This window comes from Homo sapiens, chromosome 6 (genome assembly GCF_000001405.40).
Source record: "Homo sapiens chromosome 6, GRCh38.p14 Primary Assembly".
Lineage (NCBI taxonomy): Eukaryota > Metazoa > Chordata > Mammalia > Primates > Hominidae > Homo > Homo sapiens.
This window is the reverse complement of record NC_000006.12, coordinates 112,770,081-112,792,200: the sequence shown is the minus strand read 5'-3', so window position 1 is coordinate 112,792,200 and position 22,120 is coordinate 112,770,081. Positions and strand designations below refer to the sequence as shown.

At 34.4% G+C, this 22,120-nt stretch overlaps 1 long non-coding RNA gene across 4 annotated transcripts in view, besides 1 other annotated feature; it reads left to right on the top strand.

The window, feature by feature from the left end:
- Nucleotides 1-22,120, top strand: part of LOC107986634 (uncharacterized) — a 117,445-nt gene that overhangs the window by 54,620 nt on the left and 40,705 nt on the right. The window lies entirely within an intron of this gene.
- Nucleotides 11,404-11,513: a silencer, noted in NCBI's record as "silent region_17485". NCBI's record gives its function as "represses an Ori minimal core promoter by ATAC-STARR-seq in GM12878 lymphoblastoid cells {active_cell/tissue: GM12878}" and the evidence as "EXISTENCE:reporter gene assay evidence [ECO:0000049][PMID:35858748]".

The following is a 22,120-nucleotide window of genomic DNA, read 5'->3' as shown; positions in this document are numbered from 1 at the left end:
ATGCGCCTAAAAACCAATAGGTCACAGAAGAAATCAAATAACAAATTAAAAAAATACCTTGAGACAAACTAAAATAGCAACATAACATGCCAAAACATAGAATGCAGCAAAAAGTAGTTCTAAGAGGGAAATCTACAGTGATCAATGAAAAAAAAATCACAAATACTCTAAAGTTATACCTCAAAAAACTAGAAAAAGAAGAACAAAGTAACCTCAAATTTAGCAGAAGGAAGGAAATAACAAAGATTATAGCAGAAATAAATGAAATGAGACTAGAGAAATAATTTAACTAAGAGTTGGGTTTTTTTGAAAAGATAAAATTGGCAAGCCCTTAGCTAGACTAGGAAAAAAGAGAGACTACTCAAATAAATGAGATGATAAATGAAAGAGGAGACATTGCAATCGATACAACCAAAATACAAATCATTATAAGAAACTATTGTAAAAAAAAGTATATGTCAACAAATCAGATAATCTAGAAGAAATGGATAAATTTCTCAACTAATAAAACCTACCAACACTGAATCACAAAGAAATTTAAAATCTTAATAGACCTACAATGAGCAAGAAGATTGAATGTGTAATAACAAGTCTCCTTTAGAGTCCAGAACTGATTAGCTTTACTATTGTATTATACCAAACATTTAAAGAAGAACTAATGTCAATTCTTCTCAAACTCTTTCAAAAAAAATCAAAGTAGAGCTAATAACTCCAAACTTATTTTATGAAGTTAGCATTACCCTGATAAGAGCCAGATAAGGACACTACAAGAAAAGAAATATATAGGCCAATATCCTTGCTAAATATAGATGCAAAAATCTGCCAACAAAATATTATATAACTGAATTCAAAAACATATTAAAAGAAAAATTCACCATGATCAAATGGGATTTACCCCTACAATGCAAGAATTGTTTAACATATGCAAATCAATAAATGTGATACACTACATTAACAAAATGAAGGATAAAAATCTCATGATCATCTTAACAGATGTAGAAAAAGCATTTGACATAATTCAATACCCTTTCTTGATGAAAACTCTGAACAGATTAGGTATAGAGGAAATGTACTTCAACCCAATAAAGGCCACATACGATAAACCCTTAGCTAATGTCATGTTCAAGGTTGTAAAGTTGAACGCTTTTACTTCAAGATTAGAAACAAGACAAGGAACTTACAGGCACTACATGCAGTTATAACTTTTCAAATATGAAAGCTCTATTTGATAGACATATTTGAAATGACTGGAAAAGAGGTAATTATGGTGAGAAAAGAACCCATGGGTGCCTGTAATCCCAGCTACTCGGGAGGCTGAGGTGGGAGAATTGCTTGAACCCAGGAGGCGGAGGTTGAAGTGAGCCGAGATCCTGCCACTGCACTCCAGCCTGGGTGACTGGGGGAGTACTCCATCTCAAACAAAACAAAACAAAAAACAAAAAAGAATGTAGGCACTCTATTGCCAGTAAAAAATACAGAGGCCTTAAAGAACAGATGTCATTCAGGGCACTCTTTTTGGGTCACTAGGTTAAGAAAAGGAGGATAGAGTTTCAAATTTTGTCAAAGGCAAACCATGAAGGGCCTTGAAGGGTGTGTCATGGGCTTTATTCTGAAAGAAAGCTTATGAGCAAGTTAAAGTAGAAAAGTGACATGGTCGGATTACATTTAGGAATATTATTCTGGAAAAAATTATGGAGAATGAACTGAGGTAGAGGTGGCCTCCCAAAGTGCTGTGATTACAGGCATGAGCCACCACGCCTGGCCACAGTGCCTACGTTCTTATACTCCCTTTCCCCAGTTAACTTTTGTCCAATGCATTAATTCTTATTTATCTTTGAAGATTCACTTCAAGCATTACATCCTCTGGATTTTTTTTCCCTGATAACTATCATCCAGAGGAAAGACTACAAAAATTATCCTCCCCCTTACTCAAGTCACCACCAAGAAGAACATCTGGTGATTATCTGTTTTCTATAGTGTTTCCTAATTCTTCTCCAGAATATCTGCTCCAATTTACATCTCCAGCAGCAGTGCATTTGTCTCTTTGTACATACAGGTTAAAATTTCTTCTGTGTTTTAGCCACTGCAAATAGTTTCTCCCACTTTTAGTTTTATCTTTAATATCTCTCCTAGAAGATAAATCTTCGATTGTGATAAAATCACACCCTTCAGCTTTTCTCCTTGTTGTTTGTACTTTTTGGAGTCTTGTTTAGGATATACTTCCTCATCCAAAAATACTCTGGTGACTTCGTCATCCAGATGCTCAAAATTCTGCCAATATACACCCTTTTTACTCATTTATTTTTCTCCTGCCTTTCTCCCCTGTCATCCTCAATTAATCCTTTCCTATTCCTTCTGGGAAAGTTCTGCTATTCAATCTCCAGCTCAGTATTTATTTATTTATTTTTTTACTGTATATATTTTGTCATTCAACCCATTCATTGTTTTTAAAAATTTATTCATTTCAGACATTTCCCAAAATGTCTGCATATTTTCTTGAAAATGTTTTACTTCATGTTTTAATCTTCTTTTATCTGTTGAATGTATTTATAATTCCAAGTTTAATTTTTTTATTATTTCTATTGCATTTGTTTTGCTTTTAAGGTAACACTTTTTTCCATAGTGATTTTTATTGCATTGTGTTTAAGCTTCTCAGTAACTAGGAACTCGAATTTTATTTGATCTATCAATTGCTTTGACTGATCTTTGTTATTCAGAAGAGTGACAAAAACCTGGGCTGCAACTTGTGCGCCTCTTGGTGAAGAGAGATAATTATCGCTTTGTATCATAGACTCATAGCCCTTCCAGCCTTGTCTCACTGCCAGGGAACTTGCAGTAACTCTCACTCTATCATTGCTTTCATCCTGGCCCCTTACTTTCTGTTCTTATTAGCTCATGCAGTGGGGAAAAAGGGTTGAGATGCAAGAATGTTGAGGAACTCCTCAGGCTGTGCCTGCTCACCGATAGAGGACCTCCGCCACAACTAGACTACAGTTCTCCCCTTTCTTACCTCAGAGTGGATGTTTTTATATTCCTGCCCATGGAATTGAGAGCTTAGGGAAAGAAAAGGGGCACGAAAAGAAAGGCCAACTCATCTTGCATTTTATTTGAGGCTCCTGGCCTTCCCTAATTTGAAAACTTCCCTACCTCCAACTACCCTGGTTCCATCAAGATACAAACACCTTTGGTCTCTCCAAGATTTTTCAGTTTTTTATTTATGGTTGAGTAGAGTTTCTCTGTTACTTTACACACTCCAGGGAGCAAAATTCACATTGCATTGTGTATTTCAGTGAGGTGTCATTTATTAAGAATAAAATGTGAATAATGCTCACCAGAATTTTGCAATGTGTGACTTGTCTCCAAATTCATCAACCTTTCTTACTGTCCAGTGACCGGTTCTACAGAGCAATGTAGGACCCTGTCATAGCTCACCATGTTGTCCAGAAGCAGAATAAACCACCAGTTTTTACATATAATGCTCCCTAACTACTGACAGTTTCTTTAGAATGGAGACTATTTCAGTCATTTCTCCATACCCAGCATATACTCAGTGTCTGGCACACACCACACATTTAAGAACTATTTGTTAAATGTATTTGTTAAATGAAATAGAAAGAAAAGGAAAAGCACTTTACTTGAGAGACATCGGAGAGAGGCAGAGATAGAGAAAAATTGACAGAAAATAAAGAAGGGAATAGAGATGGGGTAACTGAGAAATTTAGAGTGAATAATACCGCTGGTAAATTACGCTCGGTTTTACTACCATTCAACGAACCTCATAACAAGTCGTTTTTCTCAAACATATTCACAGGACATGTGTTTGTTATCAACTGTCAGCCAGAACAAGTAGCATCTCATATCAATCTCTATCTAATTGCAAAGAACCAATAAAAATCTACAACTTGTCTCATAACTGACTTTTAACAAGGTTTCAAAATAAGATTCAGATTGTCAAGAACTATTGACTTCAGTATCATTATACCACGTCTTTTTCCCTTGGAATAGAATTTAATTCAGTGATGTGCACATCAGTGAAAACGATTACTAAAAGTTAAATTTGTTGCTTGTTATTGTTTAGATCACAAAAACAGAAAGTTCATCTGTCTGGGGTAAATACTCTTCTGGCTGTAAATATGGCCTCCCTACCATCAGACCATCATCACTCATGCTCTGAATCTACAACCATACAGACACCATAATTTAGAGGACTATTGACAGAGCAGACTTCTCATGGAAAATCAATACAGTTTGTGTTTAATATGCATATCTTGATTCTTCTGGTTTATACAGTTGTTCCACTGCATTTCTTAACACTCTTGGAAATGAGAGGATGCAGAAAGATGGATTTCACACAGTGTTGGTAGAAATGTAAATTACTATAGCCATTATGGAAAATAGTATGGAGGTTCTTCAGAAAATTAAAAATAGAACTACTCATTAAGCACAAGCATATATTTTTTGGCTTTAAATCATAAAAAAAAAAACCCATAGCTTTTAAACGAAAACTTTAGAAGCACGAGGCAAAAATGCACCAGAACAAATCCAGAGGAGTTTCAGTTCCAAAATAACCTCAATACAAGGACGCTTTATCTACAACATGGGCTGCAAGAGAGTATGGCAAGTAGCAGTGTGCAAAATTCAAGCTGCCAGTTCACGACGTGGTTATAAAACGTTCCATCTGAACACAGGGAAAAGATTTGTATCATCTGTTCTACAGGGTAGTAGAGGAAGAAGAAGGTTATAGAATTGCATCTGCCCTAAGTATCCAGTAGTTTTGAATCAGGGGAAAAATTGATTAAAAGCTACCTATGGGGGAAAGAAAAAGGTTTTCTAAATTAATATTAATTGAAGTTAAGTCATAGGAGAATATTGTTTTGGGGGTTTAAAGCCTATCTAATTTCACTCTTTATTTAATAAGCTCTTGGTCATTTCTTTTTAATTCGTTTTTAGAAAATATGATATTACCTATGTACATTTTCCTGTAAGAAAGAGATGTAACCAAACTACATACATTTTATTCAGAATTTTCAGAGAGATTCAATTTTTTGCTATTATCAGACAAACCCATTTATTGAAATTGTGGTTTATATTTCAGGTAAATACAGTACAGAGTCATAGGAAAGCAGTCAGCATTAATCAATTTTCTGTTCTGCCTTAAGTTGGAATAAACATTCCTGAGTGATGTGAAGAAACCGCACTTTATAAGAGAAAGACGAGATCCAGATTTTTGTTTTGTTTTTATCTTCAAATCTTGTCAGATTTATCCAACTAAAAATTCTTTCTTTAAACCAAAACAGATATGGAATCCTAGTACATATATTTAAATTCTGATAGCTTTATCAAAACATGACTTCCTTCTTTTCTTCCTTCATTGAAATGGGGTCTCAGGCAGTTGCCTTCTTTAAGTCCATTTCTGTTGATTTAACGACAAAAGATTTCCATCATATTGTGCTCATAGCTTCTTTACAAGCAAACAACAATTAACTACATGATATAAGTAATAGTCTCACAGTATAAAATCCAGTCTACTTCACAAAATATTAGCCACACGCAGCCTTCAGAATAAAAATCTTTTCCTTCCAAGCTCTTCCAATTATGTGATACAAATATGTATATTTGTATGCATGTAGACAGGTAGATAGATATCATTTTATTTAAGTCTACTAAACTGTGATAGAAAGCAAAAAGCACAATATAACCTAAGTACAATATTGGCGTAAAATGAAAGAGTGTGAAGAAAATTTATCATAACTTAATTCTTACAAATAACTTTACATGAGTTTTTAAGCACTGGCAGAAAAATACTTTAAGTAGAAAAGTTAGGGAGCTCAGGCCAGGTGCGGTGGCTCACGCCTGTAATCCCAGCCCTTTGGGAGGCCAAGGCAGGCGGATCACGAGGCCAGGAGATCGAGACCATCCTGGCTAACACGGTGAAACTCCGTCTCTACTAAAAAATACAAAAAAATTAGCCAGGCATGGTGGCGGGTACCTGTAGTGCCAGCTACTCGGGAGGCTGAGGCAGGAGAATGGCATGAACCCGGGAGGCGGAGCTTGCAATGAGCTGATATGGCCACACTGCACTCCGGCCTGGGCGACAGGGCAAGACTCCATCATCTCAAAAAAAAAAAAGAAAAGTTGGGGAGCTTAGAAACCTATATTCTTTGTGTGTGTGTGTGTGTGTGTCTCTGTTATGTCTATATGTATGAATTGATTTACCCAAAGACATCATGTTTTAAATATAAATTATGAATATGTTATTATTTGAGATTACTAAGTATGTAGTCTAAAGAATGTGAAACAGGAAGGATTGTGAAGATTAAAACCCTGTTTGTACGAAGTATACAACTTCATGTGATTATTTGGTACATTTTAATTTGAAAAAAAATTAAATTATGAGTATAAATTTTTGAAAAAGTTAAAAAGCAAATAAAATTTTAAAATGTTTGCCTAAAATCTAACAGAAAAAGTTACTGTTACATAATGTCATATAGAATTCATTTTTAAAATACTACAAAATTAAAAGCTATATACATGTTTAAAGAAGAAAGAGCCAAACATTTAAATCATGTGATTGTAATAATTGCTATACTTACTTTTATTTCTCTTACTCTTTTTCTTTCTTAATGATTGAATATTCATATTCACTATAGTGTGATGAGATCATCTCTAACACTGTTGGAGGGACTGTGACTGGGGATACGCGGTCTGGAAATCAGTCAAGGGTCTCAAAAATGATCATAAATTTTGATTTATAATTTTGCTTTAAGAAATGTTTTTATAAATATGAAAAATACAGACAAAAATATTTTATAAAACATTCATGCCAGCCTTACTTGTATTAGCAAAACTTTCAACAGATAAAACATTAAATCATAGAGGAATTGTTGATTGAATTTTGAGACATCTAACTGATGGAATATCATGGGATATTCAATCGATCCAATATATGTTTTTGAAAAAATTGTGAAGACACAGGTAATTGTTTGCAATATATCATCAAGTAAAAAAAAGCAAATGTGTAAAAAATTATTGAAAACATACGGGCTAACTCTGACCCTGTAGAATATATTTTTTCATCTCTAAAAATGCAGAAAAATATTATTTTATCTAGTTCATAATCTTAACAGTGTGTATTAACTAAGATAGTACATGTGAACTAACTGGTTCTAGAACTTACACATGGTGAATCTTATGTAAATATCAGCTGCTGTTGTTAAAAGGTTAGCTTTTATTGGAGTATTAAGTCAGAAACAGGGTAGAAGGGAATTCTGTTCTTATTCAAAGAGTTCAAAGAAGTCTTTTCTTTCTCTGTATCTGCAGAAATCAATGATAACAAAAAATTTCAAATTTATGAAAGGGAAAGTAAAAAGTTTATCTTCCTGTTTCCCAGTAATGAATGAATTGACATTATCAACGTGGCCAAGACAATCAAACATCAGGTCTATCAGGTCTCGAATGAAGTATCAGTTGACAGCTGTGTTCACTAGCCAAAAGTAGAGTGAAAAGAGCCAGTTATCCATACATTGGGTCTAGCACCAGCCTCTGTGTATTTAGTTCCTTGTGATAGCCACCTGAATGCTCTCTACTGTGTAGGCACTTTGGTGTCTGTCACAAGAGTAGGTTACACTATTTCCAAGCCAATAGGGAAGTAAAATTGTGCCAAGGGGCCTGTCAGAGGCTCAGAAGTCACCTGAGAGGAGGCAAAGCTAAAAAATAGAATCCAAGGTTCTATTGGAGAGAGATGGATGCTCACATCAATGAACTGATGAAGGAGAGAGAGACACACAGAGAGAGAGAACAAATGAATTTCCTCATACAGATGTACTAGACATGATGAGGTGGGTTTGGTTTGATATTTAGCATGCACATAAGTTTTCTAATACTTCCCATCTTTTGAGCCCTTTTGCTTGTTTGTTTACCAAGAAATCTCTTAGTCAAGTATTGTATTCCTTATTTTACATACGTGGAACTTGATGTTCAGTAAATTTAAATGACTTAATGCCTCAGCTAGTAAATGCAGTAGCAAGGATTCAAAGAGATGCCTTGATTCTTCCAGTTTTCTCTTGACCCCCAGGATACTATAAATGTAGCTTACCTTCACTGGGCTCACAGATTGCAGTTCAGCAGTTCAGTTCACAATTTAGTTCACAATTTCCACATCCCTATAACATCTAAAAAGCTAATGCCCAGCCTCATAGTATTACAGTGCAATAGAGAGAGACATAGATGTTCATTCTCTGTTGTGATAGTTCTACAATGATGCATTTTACATGAAGCTTTCTCATTCACATCCACTTGAAGGAACTATTTCTGAAACTGCTTTCTTCTTGGAATGGGGTTAACAGATTGGGGTCCCTCCCAATCTGGAAGAATATAATGAGATCACAAGGTCAAATTCCAATGTCCCATTGAAAACAAATAAATGAAAAAAAATCTACAGAGTTACAGTTCTGATTCCACCTATATACATTAATTTTTAAGCATCTCATTTTCTTCTAAGATCACTTAACAGTTTTCTTCATGAATAATATTGGTGGATAATTACTTTTCATTTGTTTAACTTAAAAAAATTAAGATTTTTTTTTCCCAAATTAACAGAAGCAAACTTCAAGCTTCCACTTGTAGAAAGACCAGCATTAAGTAGCAGCTTTTTCAGCTCACACTCATTAAAGTTGTGATCATGTTAGGGTTCATTTTCTAGCCTCAACACCATTACATCAAGTACCGTAACACATATAGGACATAGGTATTTAGCTCTGACTTGAAATAAATATATTGTGATTGATCCAAGAATAGTCTAATTAAAAGCAGAATTATGGTATTAGATTTGGAAACGGTATGTTGGAGTTGTCTACACAGTCATTGCATCTTTTAAAAATCTTTTTTCAATTTCTCCCTGCCCGTTTCAAACTAATATTTATTATGTTTTTAGTGTCCCCTTTTTCTATAATATAATAAAGACCACTAGATGATAAACACATAACATTTGAAGTTGAGGTTATATGAACTCTATATAGGGATAGTCAAAACACTTTTCAGTTAGAGTATCTTGAATAGAATGAAAAAGGGATTGTTTTAGTGGGTTAGAAGGTTTCAAAGGGTGATTTCAATGGTCAGAGCCAGTTTTATCATTCTTTATAAATGGCAAGGAATTGTTATTAGAATAGCTCATCTCAAACTGAGACCACCTTCCTAGGTCTGCAGCATCCCGACAAGAGTACTTTTTATCAATTTTTATTTTGATGAACATCAAAAAATACTTTATTTATGTTGTGGATTATCTGATGGTCCTATTTTAATCAAATATCTCAAAAGAATTTCAGCTTTCGCATTTCTTATAATTGAGCCCAAAGCTGAAGGAACAAACATTTTGCAATATTTTGATTTTATAAATAGGTATTGGGTAATTGAACTATCACACAGCACCTGGTAAACTTGAACAGCAATGACAAAACACATGCTATGGCAGGCCTTGTAGTCATGTTTGAGAGAATTTATCACACTTTATTACAAATAAGTGTAGCAATAAATATGCAACAGAATTTTTCTTTTTTTAAGAAAATCAACATCAGGCATTCATTTAATTCCAATTTCAGCAATGCTATAATATTCAAATAAACAGGAAAGCTTTCCAGAATTATCAAGTGATATTTCATCAAACAGGTACTTAAGAATTTCTCACCATCATTTTTACTTGTTTTATTTAAGTAGGCAGTCTGGTGGACCTGAACTAACAAACAGGGTCTTAAGGTTTTAAACGATATTTTGATAATATAACTAGGCAAGCCAGTATTTTATGCATTGATATTATTAAATTCAAAATACAGAAATAGATTAAATGTAGACCCAGAGCTGAGATGCCATCTTCCACCATAAGCATGACATGGCGAAGAAGCCACTGGAAAGCATTCCAGACACCTGGGATCTAGTCACAGAACTTTCTCTCGCTGTGCTATTTTGAGGACACTATTTAACCTCCGTAAGCCTCAGTTTCAAAACCACTAAAGTGGCCGGACGTAAGATTATTTCGCATGTCTCTTCAAATTCTAACATGCTATGCAAAGAGATGCCCTAGGCATCTGATGTAAATTGATGCATAACATTTTTAGTTCTCCAAAATATGTAAACCCCATGAATAGTGTATTTTTTGTCATATTCCAAGAGTATTATTAATCTTCAAATTGAAGAATATGGTGAGTGATTCCAATGTTATTCTAAGTAAATACCTAAAAAAGCACCAGAAAATTCATTAACCACTATTATTTGAAGATTATGTTCCAGTAATCTTCTGAAAGCATACATAATAGGTATAATCCCAAATATTTTAATATGGTAGGTACTCCATTAACCATTACATTGTTTGATAAAGCTTTAAACAGTAGTCAGTTATTTCAAACAAGAAACATGCATGTAAACTTGATGAAGACAATATATGCATGCCTTGGTGTATTGAAGTGATAGAGATGAGTTACTGTGTCTATGTTGATGAATACTCAAAGTTTCTAGGTCCTCTGGGACATTAATTAATTAGAAAACAAACTCTTACTATTTTTATGAATAGCTTATCACAGGACACGCTTCCAACATACTTCTTCCTTTGTGTATAAAAAAATACATAACTATAGACCAATGGTTCTCACTCAGGAGCAATTTTGTCCTCCAAGGGATATTTGGCAGTGTCTGGAGACATTTCTGGTTGTTACAAACTGGGAGTGGGGTGGGGGAGTGCTACTGGCATCTAGTGGGTAGAGACTAAGGATACTGCTACACATCCTACAATGCACAGCCCCCCATGACAAAGAATTGTCTGTCTCCAAATGTAAACAATGCCAAGATTGAGAAACCCTGACGTAAACTGCAAGTCTCCATTGACTTCTGTGTCAAGTCTATCAAAAAGTCAGATACTTTTTTGTGCTTCCTCCCCTTACAAATCATGAACTTAAGGCTTTGATTCAACTAATAAAATTTTTCTTTGTATTTTTGTTTCACTCTATAAGTCTCAAATATATAAAGAATTAAAAATATTTAAAGTGCTAACATGGGAAAGTATTTCTGTTATTTGGCAGATTTAATAATTTTATTATATTATAAAAATTATAAAAATTAAGCCTAGAAAAGGCTTATTTTTTTTTTAGATTACTCTCAATATCATTCTATGCTTTTGACTACTCAGTTGAAGAAGCCAATGCAATCTTTCTTATTGCACTGTCGTTTTTCAGTGTGTGTAAACTGGGGTTGCCAAGGGTTCTAAAAAAGATTATTTGGAAGTATTAGGGTTAAGGAAGACTTAGTGTTGATGTTTAAAATGTGTTGTACGTGCTTATATTTATGCCTAGGTTTGTTCTACATGATTTCCCTTTTTAATTTTAAATTGGACAAATCACTGTTGGTTAAATTTAACTAATTTTTCATTAGCGTTTCCATTTTCTGAAGGCGTCCCAAATCAGTATCTGGGTAGACCATAATGGAGACCTGTTGGTGGCTCTAGAATTATTCTTGCAGGATTGCAGCGCCACCTACAGGGATCCATATGCATATCATTATTTGACCAACCGCGCTCCTAGCATTCACTGATGTACATACAGCCCAAAAGACAAATGGAAAAGTCTAGAAAATGAAATAAAACAAAATTAATAAAAACCCAAGGGAAGTGTTTACATTGTATCATGTGTCTTTTCAGTACGTACTTAACGGAGGCCTTTTGAAATCAACTAATTTCTTGATTTCCGACTCTGTAGGTAAATATTACTTTTCTGGATTCTTTTAACAAATTACTACATCTTTAAAATGAGAAAACTATACCTTTATTTAAGAGAAACGTTCTGAAAAGAAATGAATAAGTGTTGAATGATACTGAATTTTGAAAAATCAATATGAAATTGTATAGATTTGACTGGTCTGGAATTTTTTAAAAAATAAAACAAATCATTAAACAAATATCAAAACAAAAAGTTAATTGTAAGATGCCTTTGTTTTCCTTTTGCTATTCTCTTTAAAAAAATAGGTTTATTCAACTGCGGACTTTCTTTCTGTTGTTGGCAAAAGTCAGAATTTTCTAGATTTAAAACTCAAACTACCTATTTTGAATAATGATAACAAGTATCAAGTTCATGGTTTTGTCTCCTAAGTTCCTTTTAATTATGCATGCGGACTTTACTAATGGAAAACTGTTACACTGACCTGTCAGCACTGTGAGAACTTTTAGGAGAGTCCAAGGCAGATTTGAACCAATACAGCAGTGAGAATGTGGAAGATAAGTCTCTTGATGGGAGGTGGGGTAGGGAGGAGGGAAGTAGAAGAAGTATAAAAGAAAACATGTAGTAGCTCAGTAAGGAAGAAGTTGACATTCAAAATTCTGTCCCTGATCTCCTGTGGAGGGAACATTTAACTCCTGTTGGCCCAGTTTTTACACCAGCCAGAGAGGTAAACTTTGGTAATTGCATCATTAAAATCTGTCTGCCCACTCTGTATGTGCCATGCAATCGCACTCTTTGATGAAGTGGAAGAGGCATTGCTATAAATCTTTGTCATGAATAGAATGTTCATTGGTTCCTCTGGAAATTTTATGTAACATGGATTAAAACCAGGCTTTGTCTGTTCATATCAGGGAAGGAAAAGCAGGAGGAGTAGAAGGTATTTTTAGAGTAAAGACCAGCCAAGCAAATTAAATCAGACCATTAAGCTTAATGGGGTTTGAGAGACCAAGGGGCAATTATGAGTTCAAAATAATGACCTTCAATCCAACATGAAGAAAATATGTAATAGCAGAACTAACTCCCTCTCCTCTCTCTCTCGAGCTTTTAACCAGAAGGGCAGAAGGAATGGAGGTGGTAGAGGTCAATAATCAACTAAAATGACCATGCTGTTTAGTTATACAGCTTATATATGTATTATTCCAATAATATTAATTTCCTCCATTAGGATTAAAATAGCACATCAAAAGATAGTCATATGAAGCTTTCTAAGAACCCAGATAAAATAATTCTCAAAAAGTTCGCCCTGTAGGGATTTACAACTATTTATAGTCTGAAAGATGCCCACTAGCTGTGAATAAATTGAAAGCTGTTGGGGGTAGTGTCATGAAAATAATTAAAATAACTAAATGACTTTCATAGGATAATATCAGTTTTAAGAGTTGTAAGGGAAACCTTATTCTTTCTCTGTTCTGTTGTGCTGAAATAGGGTATATAAGACAGAGTAGGATGTACAATTAAGGGAATTTTTAAAATGCCCCAACATAGGCAGGTTGGAAGCAGAATTATGACTTCATGTCTATTTTCAAGATGGAGATCTATCTATATGTTCATGTTTTAATTTATTTTTATGTAGTTAATTGTTACTTAAATGTAGTGAATATAAAACCAAATCACTGAATGAAACCACCTTCATAAACCTTAATATCTAGTTTAGGTCCTGGTGACTTATGACTTGCAATATAGATTTCATGTAGAAATATTTACATAATGTTACTGCTATGCAGTTTTGTAATATATAAGCAGAAATGTTTTTCTCACTTCACTTTTGTCAACTTCAGCATTAAAAATAATCTACTTGATACCCGTTAAGTGAGAAAATACAATATTCATTTCATACATTTTAAGTTGCATAAGTCTATATTTTTGCATAACCATGGGAGCTGCTTATAAATAAACAGATTGAAAGATTTTATGATTCAAAAAAGCAAAATCGCTTTTTAAAAAGAAATATATCAGAAGGAAAATCAACATAAAATAATTATATAGTCTCTGCTTGGGATCAAATTTTATGTTTCAAATAATGTAAGCAAAATTTACAGAGACTAACATGCTAACTTGACACATGACTTGGAATACATTGGAAGTTATATCAAATTCTGGAACACCATTGATAAGAAAAATAAAATGCTGTTAAATATTCGATGCTACACATGAAAATGCTTTACTATCATTTAAAGCACTTTTTACTATCATGCCTAAAAAGTGCATCTTAAGAAAAATAAGTATGTTTCAACCATTTTTCTGGACCTCTTCTTTAAGATAGATTTTTAGAAGCCAGTCATATGTTATTTTACTAAAATATATTATCTTTGATTCAATCCTCTAAAAATGGATTTTCAAATATCTCTTCTATAAATATTCTGAGCTATAAAATGCTTTAAATGAAAAGAACAAGAAGAGTTATTGTTTACTGAGTAACAAAATCACTTTCTATTAGAAATAAGATTTTACTTCATTTATCTCAGTCTAAATAAAAAATAGTACAGAGACTAAAGGCAGCATGGTCTAGTGACTGAGCTTCAGTCTTGGCTATGCTATCTTTTATCTGATGACTATCTTTTATCTATGCTATCTTTTATCTAATAATTCTCACTGAGAATTATTTACCCTCACTGAGTCCCAGTTTCCCTATCTTAAAAATGATAATAATAGTAACAACAATACCTATATCATGGGGTAGTTTTGTGTGTGAGCTGACAAACATGTATAAAGGCCTAGTGTACTGTCTGACATGATAGATAATTAGTAGAAGAGGTCCCTCAACATGGGGAAATACACATAAATCCCAATTTTTATCTACAAATTGTGTATTCTTAGATATCTCTTCATAACTATTTATTCTGTATAATATAGATAACAACATGCAAATGCTTATTAAAAGTCCTAATGCATGCCAGTGCTGCTTTGGTTAGGCCAATATCTTGGTTGGAACAAGCTACACAATGTGTGGTAGCAACTCCAAAACCATTAAGACTGAGTATGTTAAAATGTATTTCACTGTCATTTGGAGTAACCATGAGCCCTCCGGCTCTCCAGGATAGCTCGCTTCCAAGGGCTGATACAAGCATTTACACAGCTTCCATATTTTAGCATACAATCTGGAACACTTGGCCTTCAGAATCAAGGTAGAAGAGAAAGTGGAAATAAGTCACACATGCCTTGAGGTACTTTTGATTGAAAGTGATGCATGTTTCTGTATACTCAGAACTGGTGGCATGGTCACCACCAAACTACAAGGGAGTTTGGGAAAAGAGTACTGTATCAGGAATATTCAGTGAACTGTATTGTCTCTGGGATGTTGAAAAAACAATAAAATCATCAACAAAGATATTTAATGTATTGTACATATTTTAACAGTTATGATCTTTTTTATTTTATGTTATTTTATTCTAGTTTACTTTAACTTCTGGGATACATGTGCTGAACGTGCAGGTTTGTTACATGGGTATACATGTACCATGGTGGTTTGCTGCACCTATCAACCCATCATCTAGCTTTTAAGCCCCACATGCATTAGGTATTTGTCTAATACTCTCCCTCCCCTTTCTTTCCACCTCCCAACAGGCCCCGGTGTGTAATGTTCCCCTCCCTGTGTCCATGTGTTCTCATCTCCTCACCAGCATCTATTGTTTCCAGACGTTTTAATGATCACCATTCTAACCGGCATGAGATGGTATCTCATTGTAGTTTTGATTTGCATTTCTCTAATGACCAGTGATGATGAGCTTTTTTTCATAGGTTTTTTGGCCGCATAATGTCTTCTTTTGAGAGATGTCTGTTCATATCCTTCGTCCACTTTTTGATGGGGTTGTTTGTTTTTTTCTTGTAAATTTGTTTAAGTTTCTTGTAAATTCTGGATATTACACCTTTGTCAGAGGGGTAGATTGAAAAATTTTTCTCTCATTCTGTAGGTTGCCTGTTCACTCTGATGATAGTTTCTTTTGCTGAGCAGAAGCTCTTTACTTTAATTAGATCCCATTTGTCAATTTCGGCTTTGTTGCAATTGCTTTTGATGTTTTAGTCATTAAGTCTTTGCCCATGCCTGTGTCCTGAATGGTATTGCCTAGGTGTTCTTCTAGGGTTTTTATGGTTTTAGGTTTTACGTTTAAGTCTTTAATCCATCTAGAATTAATTTTTGGATAAGGTGTAAGGAAGGGGTTCAGTTTCTGTTTTCTGCATATGGCTAGCCAGTTTTCCCAACACCATTTATTAACTAGGGACTCCTTTCCCCATTGCTTTTTTTTTTTTTTTTTTTTTTGGTCAGGTTTGTCGAAGACCAGATGGTTGTAGATGTGTGGTGTTACTTCTGAGGCTGCTGTTCTGTTCCATTGGTCTATATATCTGTTTTGGTACCAGTACCACGCTCTTTTGGTTACTGAAGCCTTGTAGTGTAGTTTGAAGTCAGGTAGCATGATGCCTCCAGCTTTTTTCTTTTTGCTTAGGCTTGTCTTCGCTATATGGGCTCTTTTATGGTTCCATATAAAATTCAAAGTAGTTTTGCCTGATTCTGTGTAGAAAGTAAATGGTATCTTGATGAGAATAGCACTGAATCTATAAATTACTTTGGGTAATATGGCCATTTTTATGATATTGATTATTCCTATGATCTATTTTTAAAAGTGGTTTTGATGCTGATTTAAAGCCTGTATTTAGATAAGGAGTGAACATGTTCTTCATGTGTTCTACTTGTTTAGAATTTTAACCTTTCATAGCATTTTTATACATATCCAGTTTTAAAATATGGGTGTAAATTAAAATATGTTCTGTAACAGTAACAAATTTTGTTTTACAGTTCTGATTTGAAACTAGCTTTTATCTTTCATAGTAGATAGACACAGCAAGATTAATGGTAATATTTGTACTAAAACCTTATATAAGCTTATTAAAAGTGTCTAATAATAAAAGTGTTTAAATACTAAAGGAACAAAAAGAGTTCCTTTTGTTGATGGATGATGAAACCAAAGCTTATCAGAGAAGAGTCATTATGCATCATTATATAAATCTAAAAATAATATTTTTCATGGGTTAGTGAGGTTATTTTGAAAATTACAAGTGTAGCCTTTTGTTAAAAAAAATTGTCAAGATAAGTGTCTCTGAGGCTTACATTGTCTATGATGATTCTTTGTTGACAGAAAAAAAGTCTGCATCATTCTTCTCAAAAATGAAATAAAATTTCAAGAAAGCATATCCTAATAACAGGGATAGAGGTGTGATGGTATCATAATTTCATGGAGCACTAATACAAATTCAGGCAAAATTGATCTCCCGTGTTTTATCTATTAAGCAACATTTGGGAATGTGGTTTCTTTCAGTTGAAATTCTGAGTAAAAAGTTCATCAGAGTTGGTTTGACCAGATCTATATAGTGTGCGTGCTTTGAACTGTCTGCTATCATGCCAGTGCTCCATCTTTAATTGAGAAGACACTTCAATGGCAAAAGCTTGCAGCTACTTCTTCACGTGTGTAATTTTCTCTGGCACTGGAGACTGTCTATGACTCTAGTTTGTCAGAGGAGCTCTTAAAAATGGGAAAGTTTTAACAAATTAACATTATTTATACTCACTGACAAGTATCCAATGTACCTTAGCTGGTTCACTAAAGGTGTTACCAAAAAGGGGTCCCTATCCAGACCCCAAGAGAAGGTTTTCATTCAAAAAGAATTCGAGGCAGTGACCATAAAGTGAAAGCAAGTTTATTAGAGAAATAAAGGAATAAAGAATGACTACTCCATAGGCAGAGCAGCAGCTTGGGCTGCTCGACTGATAATACTTAATAGTTATTTATTGATTATATGCTAAACAATGGGTGGATTATTCAGGAGTTTTCCAAGAAAGAGGTGGACAATTCCCAAAACTGAGGGTTCCTCCCCTTTGTAGACTATGCAGCGTAACTTTCTGACATTTCCGTGGCATTTGCAAACTATCATGGCACTCGTGGGAGTGTCTTTTAGGCATGCTAATGCATTACAGTTAGTGTATAATGAGCAGTGAGGAAAACCAGAAGTCACTTTCATGACCATCTTGTTTTTGGTGGGATTTGGGGCTGGCTTCTTCACTGAAACCTGTTTTATCAGCAAGGTCTTTGTGACCTGGATCTTGTGCTGACCTCCTCTCTCTTCCTGTGACTTAGAATGCCTAACCTCCTGGGAATGCAGCCCAATAGGTCTCAACCTCAGTTTACCTAGCCCCTGTTCAAGACAGAGTCACCCTGGTTTAAATGCCTCTGACATAGTGACAGGGGTTTTAAAGTCAGATGTTTTAAACTCAATTTGTCGGCTACTATTACCAGCTGTTGTATAAAGCTTCTCAAATCAAACCTATTGATGCCTCCAGATGTATGTCCAGGTTTAGCTCCTGAGAAAGTAGGATATGCACCAAATGTAATTTTGACTTTAGTGTCTATAGGCACAAGTAAATTACACAGGCTTCATCCTTACCAGAAAAGACTCCATCTTATTCAAGAGATTCTTAGGTACACTGTTGAAACCTAGAGGGTGGTACAAACATTTCTTATTCTTCCCATGTGGCTGCCCTTTGGTTATGCCAAAGTCCCTTTTGATTAAGCATTCAAAGTGCCCTTTATATTCCTATCTCCCCCCCCCCATTTTTTTTACATCTTCCCTTTCCCTCATACTTCTCCATCTCTACCCACACACAAGCACACACCTGCATGGGTTCCTGGCTTCCACTGGGCATCACTGTCACTGAGATACTAGTAACTATATCAGCAAGGTCAAGTCTTGTTTCACTCTGGTGCACCTTTTGCTTTAGAGTGAAATGAATGTAAGGTAAACTTTTGGCTTCACTAATATGAATTACTTCTCTCAGCATTATTCTGATGCATTATTACCTTAAAATCTATTCTTACCTTGCAGAAGACCTAAAGAGACCATGTGAACACTTTCAAGTCCTTTAAATGAAATGGAGAGAAACAGGATGAAGGAAAAAGGAAACTGGCTCACAACTATCCTCCTCCCACTAATTACCAATGACTTAAGCCCTTCGAATCAAGTCATTTTTCAGGACCCAAGAGCTATTGGCCCAAATATCTGGCAGTTAATCCTAACACATTTTATTTTATCATCAGATTCAATGTTTAATCTTCCTAAGATGCCAAAGTGATTAGTGATTATGACTCAGTACAAATGTGCTTAAATTACCAAAAATTTGAATTTTACACATTTTTTATTAACAGAGAAGCTGAGACTAAGCTGATATTTCCTGTACCAACACTAAAAGCCAACTATCTGGAAGTATTCATTAAAACGAAGAGATGATCATTTTTCTTAAACAATTGCATACCAAATCCAAATTAAACAATTTGCTCATTTATTTTTCCTGTTTCCTGATCTACATTTCAATTCCTCTTATTTAGGAATCTGTATTTACTCATAACTCTTAGCAATCATTAAATAAAACATAACATAAATAGAAAAGTAGTCTGACATATTATACTTCAAAGTCAGAAATAATATGCTAAATTTACTTTCCCAGTTCTCCTTGAAAGGATTCAATAAATTATTCTGAGAGTTATTTCAGGAGTATTGACTGAAGAGCATGGCTTTAATTTTCAGCTTTTAACCATAGCATAGAGGATCCTACAGAGATGTTGCTAACTCCTCAAGTGCCTTACCTGGACTGGAGAGTGGGGAGGAGAATATAAACCAAATAAAAACTACCTTTGTGCGCATTCATATACTGGTTTATCATTCAAAGTTTCACAGATAATAATCAACAATGTACAGGATAAATTTCTCTGTTGGGAGTTTTAATCGGTTGAAGAAAAACAGTCTCTAAGGATCTTATCAGTATTTGGAAAATACAATTACATCAAGTTTATACATTGACTCTACCAGTTCCACTTCTTCACATTACTTTGATTAATTTCTTCACACACACACACACACACACACACACTTAATTTTTAACTTTCCTATAGTCCTAAAAGTCAACGGCAAAAAATTTTCAAATATGAGAAGTCCATAAAAATGTTTAAATGCTGGTAATGGTTAAAATTAACAGACAAATCAATGGAAAAGAATAAATAGTCTAGAAATGGCTTCACTTACTGGAAAGTCATATATTATTAAGGACTTGACAAGTTTGGAAGGACAGGATTATTAATTATTGAATAAATGATGTTTGAAAAACTGGTTATCTTTTTTTTAAAAAAAGTAAAGGTAAATTTAGACCATTATCACAGTGTTACCAAATAAAATATAAGCTGATTGAGGTAAACATAAAAGTTACAGAAAAATTGGAAGAAAACAGAAATCAAAAAGTATCAAATGTCAGGAATGGCATGGTATCTAGAAGCAATGAGAAACAAACTAAATAAAAGATAAACAGCTTTGCATACACACACACAAACTAAAGTTTTTGAAGGTCAAAAAATATAAGGTAACAGATGAGATATTGGGAATGAATTTTAGGAAGTTTTACGAAGAAAATATATGCATTTCAGGCAAATACACAAGAGGAACATCAGACTAACATGAGCAACCGCATAAATAGATCATACGTGATTAAAAATAAAATACAGGTTAGGCATGCCTAATGCAGAAATCCAAAATCTCAAATGCCCCAAAATTCAAAACTTTTTGAGCACCAAAATTATAGGTGGAAAATTCCACACATAAGTACAATCAATAAGTGTGGATACTTCCACACCTAAGTACCATCTTTGCTTCATGCACAAAATTATTAAAAATATTGTACACAATTACCTTCCGGCTATGTGTGTAAGATGTATATGAAACATAAATGAATTCTGTGTTTAGACTTGGGTCCTATCCCCAAGAGTTCTGATTATACAAATATTCCAAAATCCAAAAAAAATCTGAAATTGGAAATGCTTCTGGTCCCAACCATTTTGAATAAGTAATACTCAACCTGTAATATAAAGTACCTAGTGATAAAAGAAAATAAAAATAGTCTAAGTTCATCCATATGTACTTTTAGATTATATGTAAAAATATTAACACTGTATATACATCAGACAAAAAGATCCTTTAATCTAATATACCTGTAATATAAAGTACCTAGTGATAAAAGAAAAGAAAAATAGTCTAAGTTCATCCACCTGTACTTTTAGATTATATGTAAAAATATTAACACTGTATATACATTAGGCAAAAAGATCCCTTAATCTAATATACATGCAAATTAAAAAGTGTGACATGATGATTCATTTTTTTAGCTATTAATGAAGCAAAGATTTTACAAATAAAAACATCCAATGCTGGTGAGTATGGACATTTCCAAAGACTGTTGCTAATAGTTTAAATATCTACTTTGGAAAGAACGTGACAACACTTATATAGCAATGTGTGAAAATTGAGCCCTTTGTAAATCAGTTTTGGTTGGGGCCCCAACATGATAGGTGATAAATAATCCCCTGTTTTATGATGAAGTGCTAGACCATCTGCAGGAGCTGCAGAGGAAGAGTCCAAAGTCAACAGAAACTCAATACATCATTTACCTCCTTGCTATATAAACAAAGGCCAAGAATTTAATTAAATAAGTGGAAGGCTTAAGAGAGGTGGTGTTTAGAGAAATATAGGGGTGCTTTTTTTCTTACTTCCAGAGTAGTCAGAAGTAATTTAAAGAAACAATTTAGAATCTTTAATGTGTTCCCTAAGTTGAGGGACAATGGAGGGTGAAGGGGTGGTCTCCTGAAGGAGCTTCTGATAAACCCGAGATACCTAAATGGAAAGAATGCTGAAGGGACCCGAAATAGCACTGTAGAACAACTCTCTCACTGACAGAGTGAGAGGTGTTTGTAAGGCATGTGATGGGAAATTGCTGGAGGGCTTGGTGCAGGGAGGTGAAGTGATCTGATTTATGTTTTTAAAAGCTTACTCAGGCTGAGGAGTGGACTAATGATAATAGTAATTGTAATGGTTAACTTTTTGTGTTCACTGGACTTGGCCATTGAATGCCCAGACATTTGTCAGACTATTCTGAGTGTGTCTCTGAGGGTGTTTCTGGATGAGATCAACATTTGAATCAACAGACTGAGTAAAGAAGACTGCCCTCCCAAGTGTGGGTGGATACCACTTAATCAATTGAAGATCTGAACAGAACGAAAGGGCTAAGAGGGAACGCCTGATTTCTCACTGCTTGAGTTGGACCATTAGTCTTTTCCTCTCTTCAGACTTTGTATTATTCTATTTTCATATGGCTATAGATAACTGCCTGAGACTGGGTAATTTATAACGGAAAGAGGTTTAATTGACTCATAGTTCTGTATGGCTGGGGAGGCCTCAGAAAACTTACAATCATGGCAGAAGGTAAAGGGGAAGTAAGGCACCTTCTTCACAAGGAGGGAGAAGTGCTGAGCAAAAGGGGAAAGAGTCCCTTATAA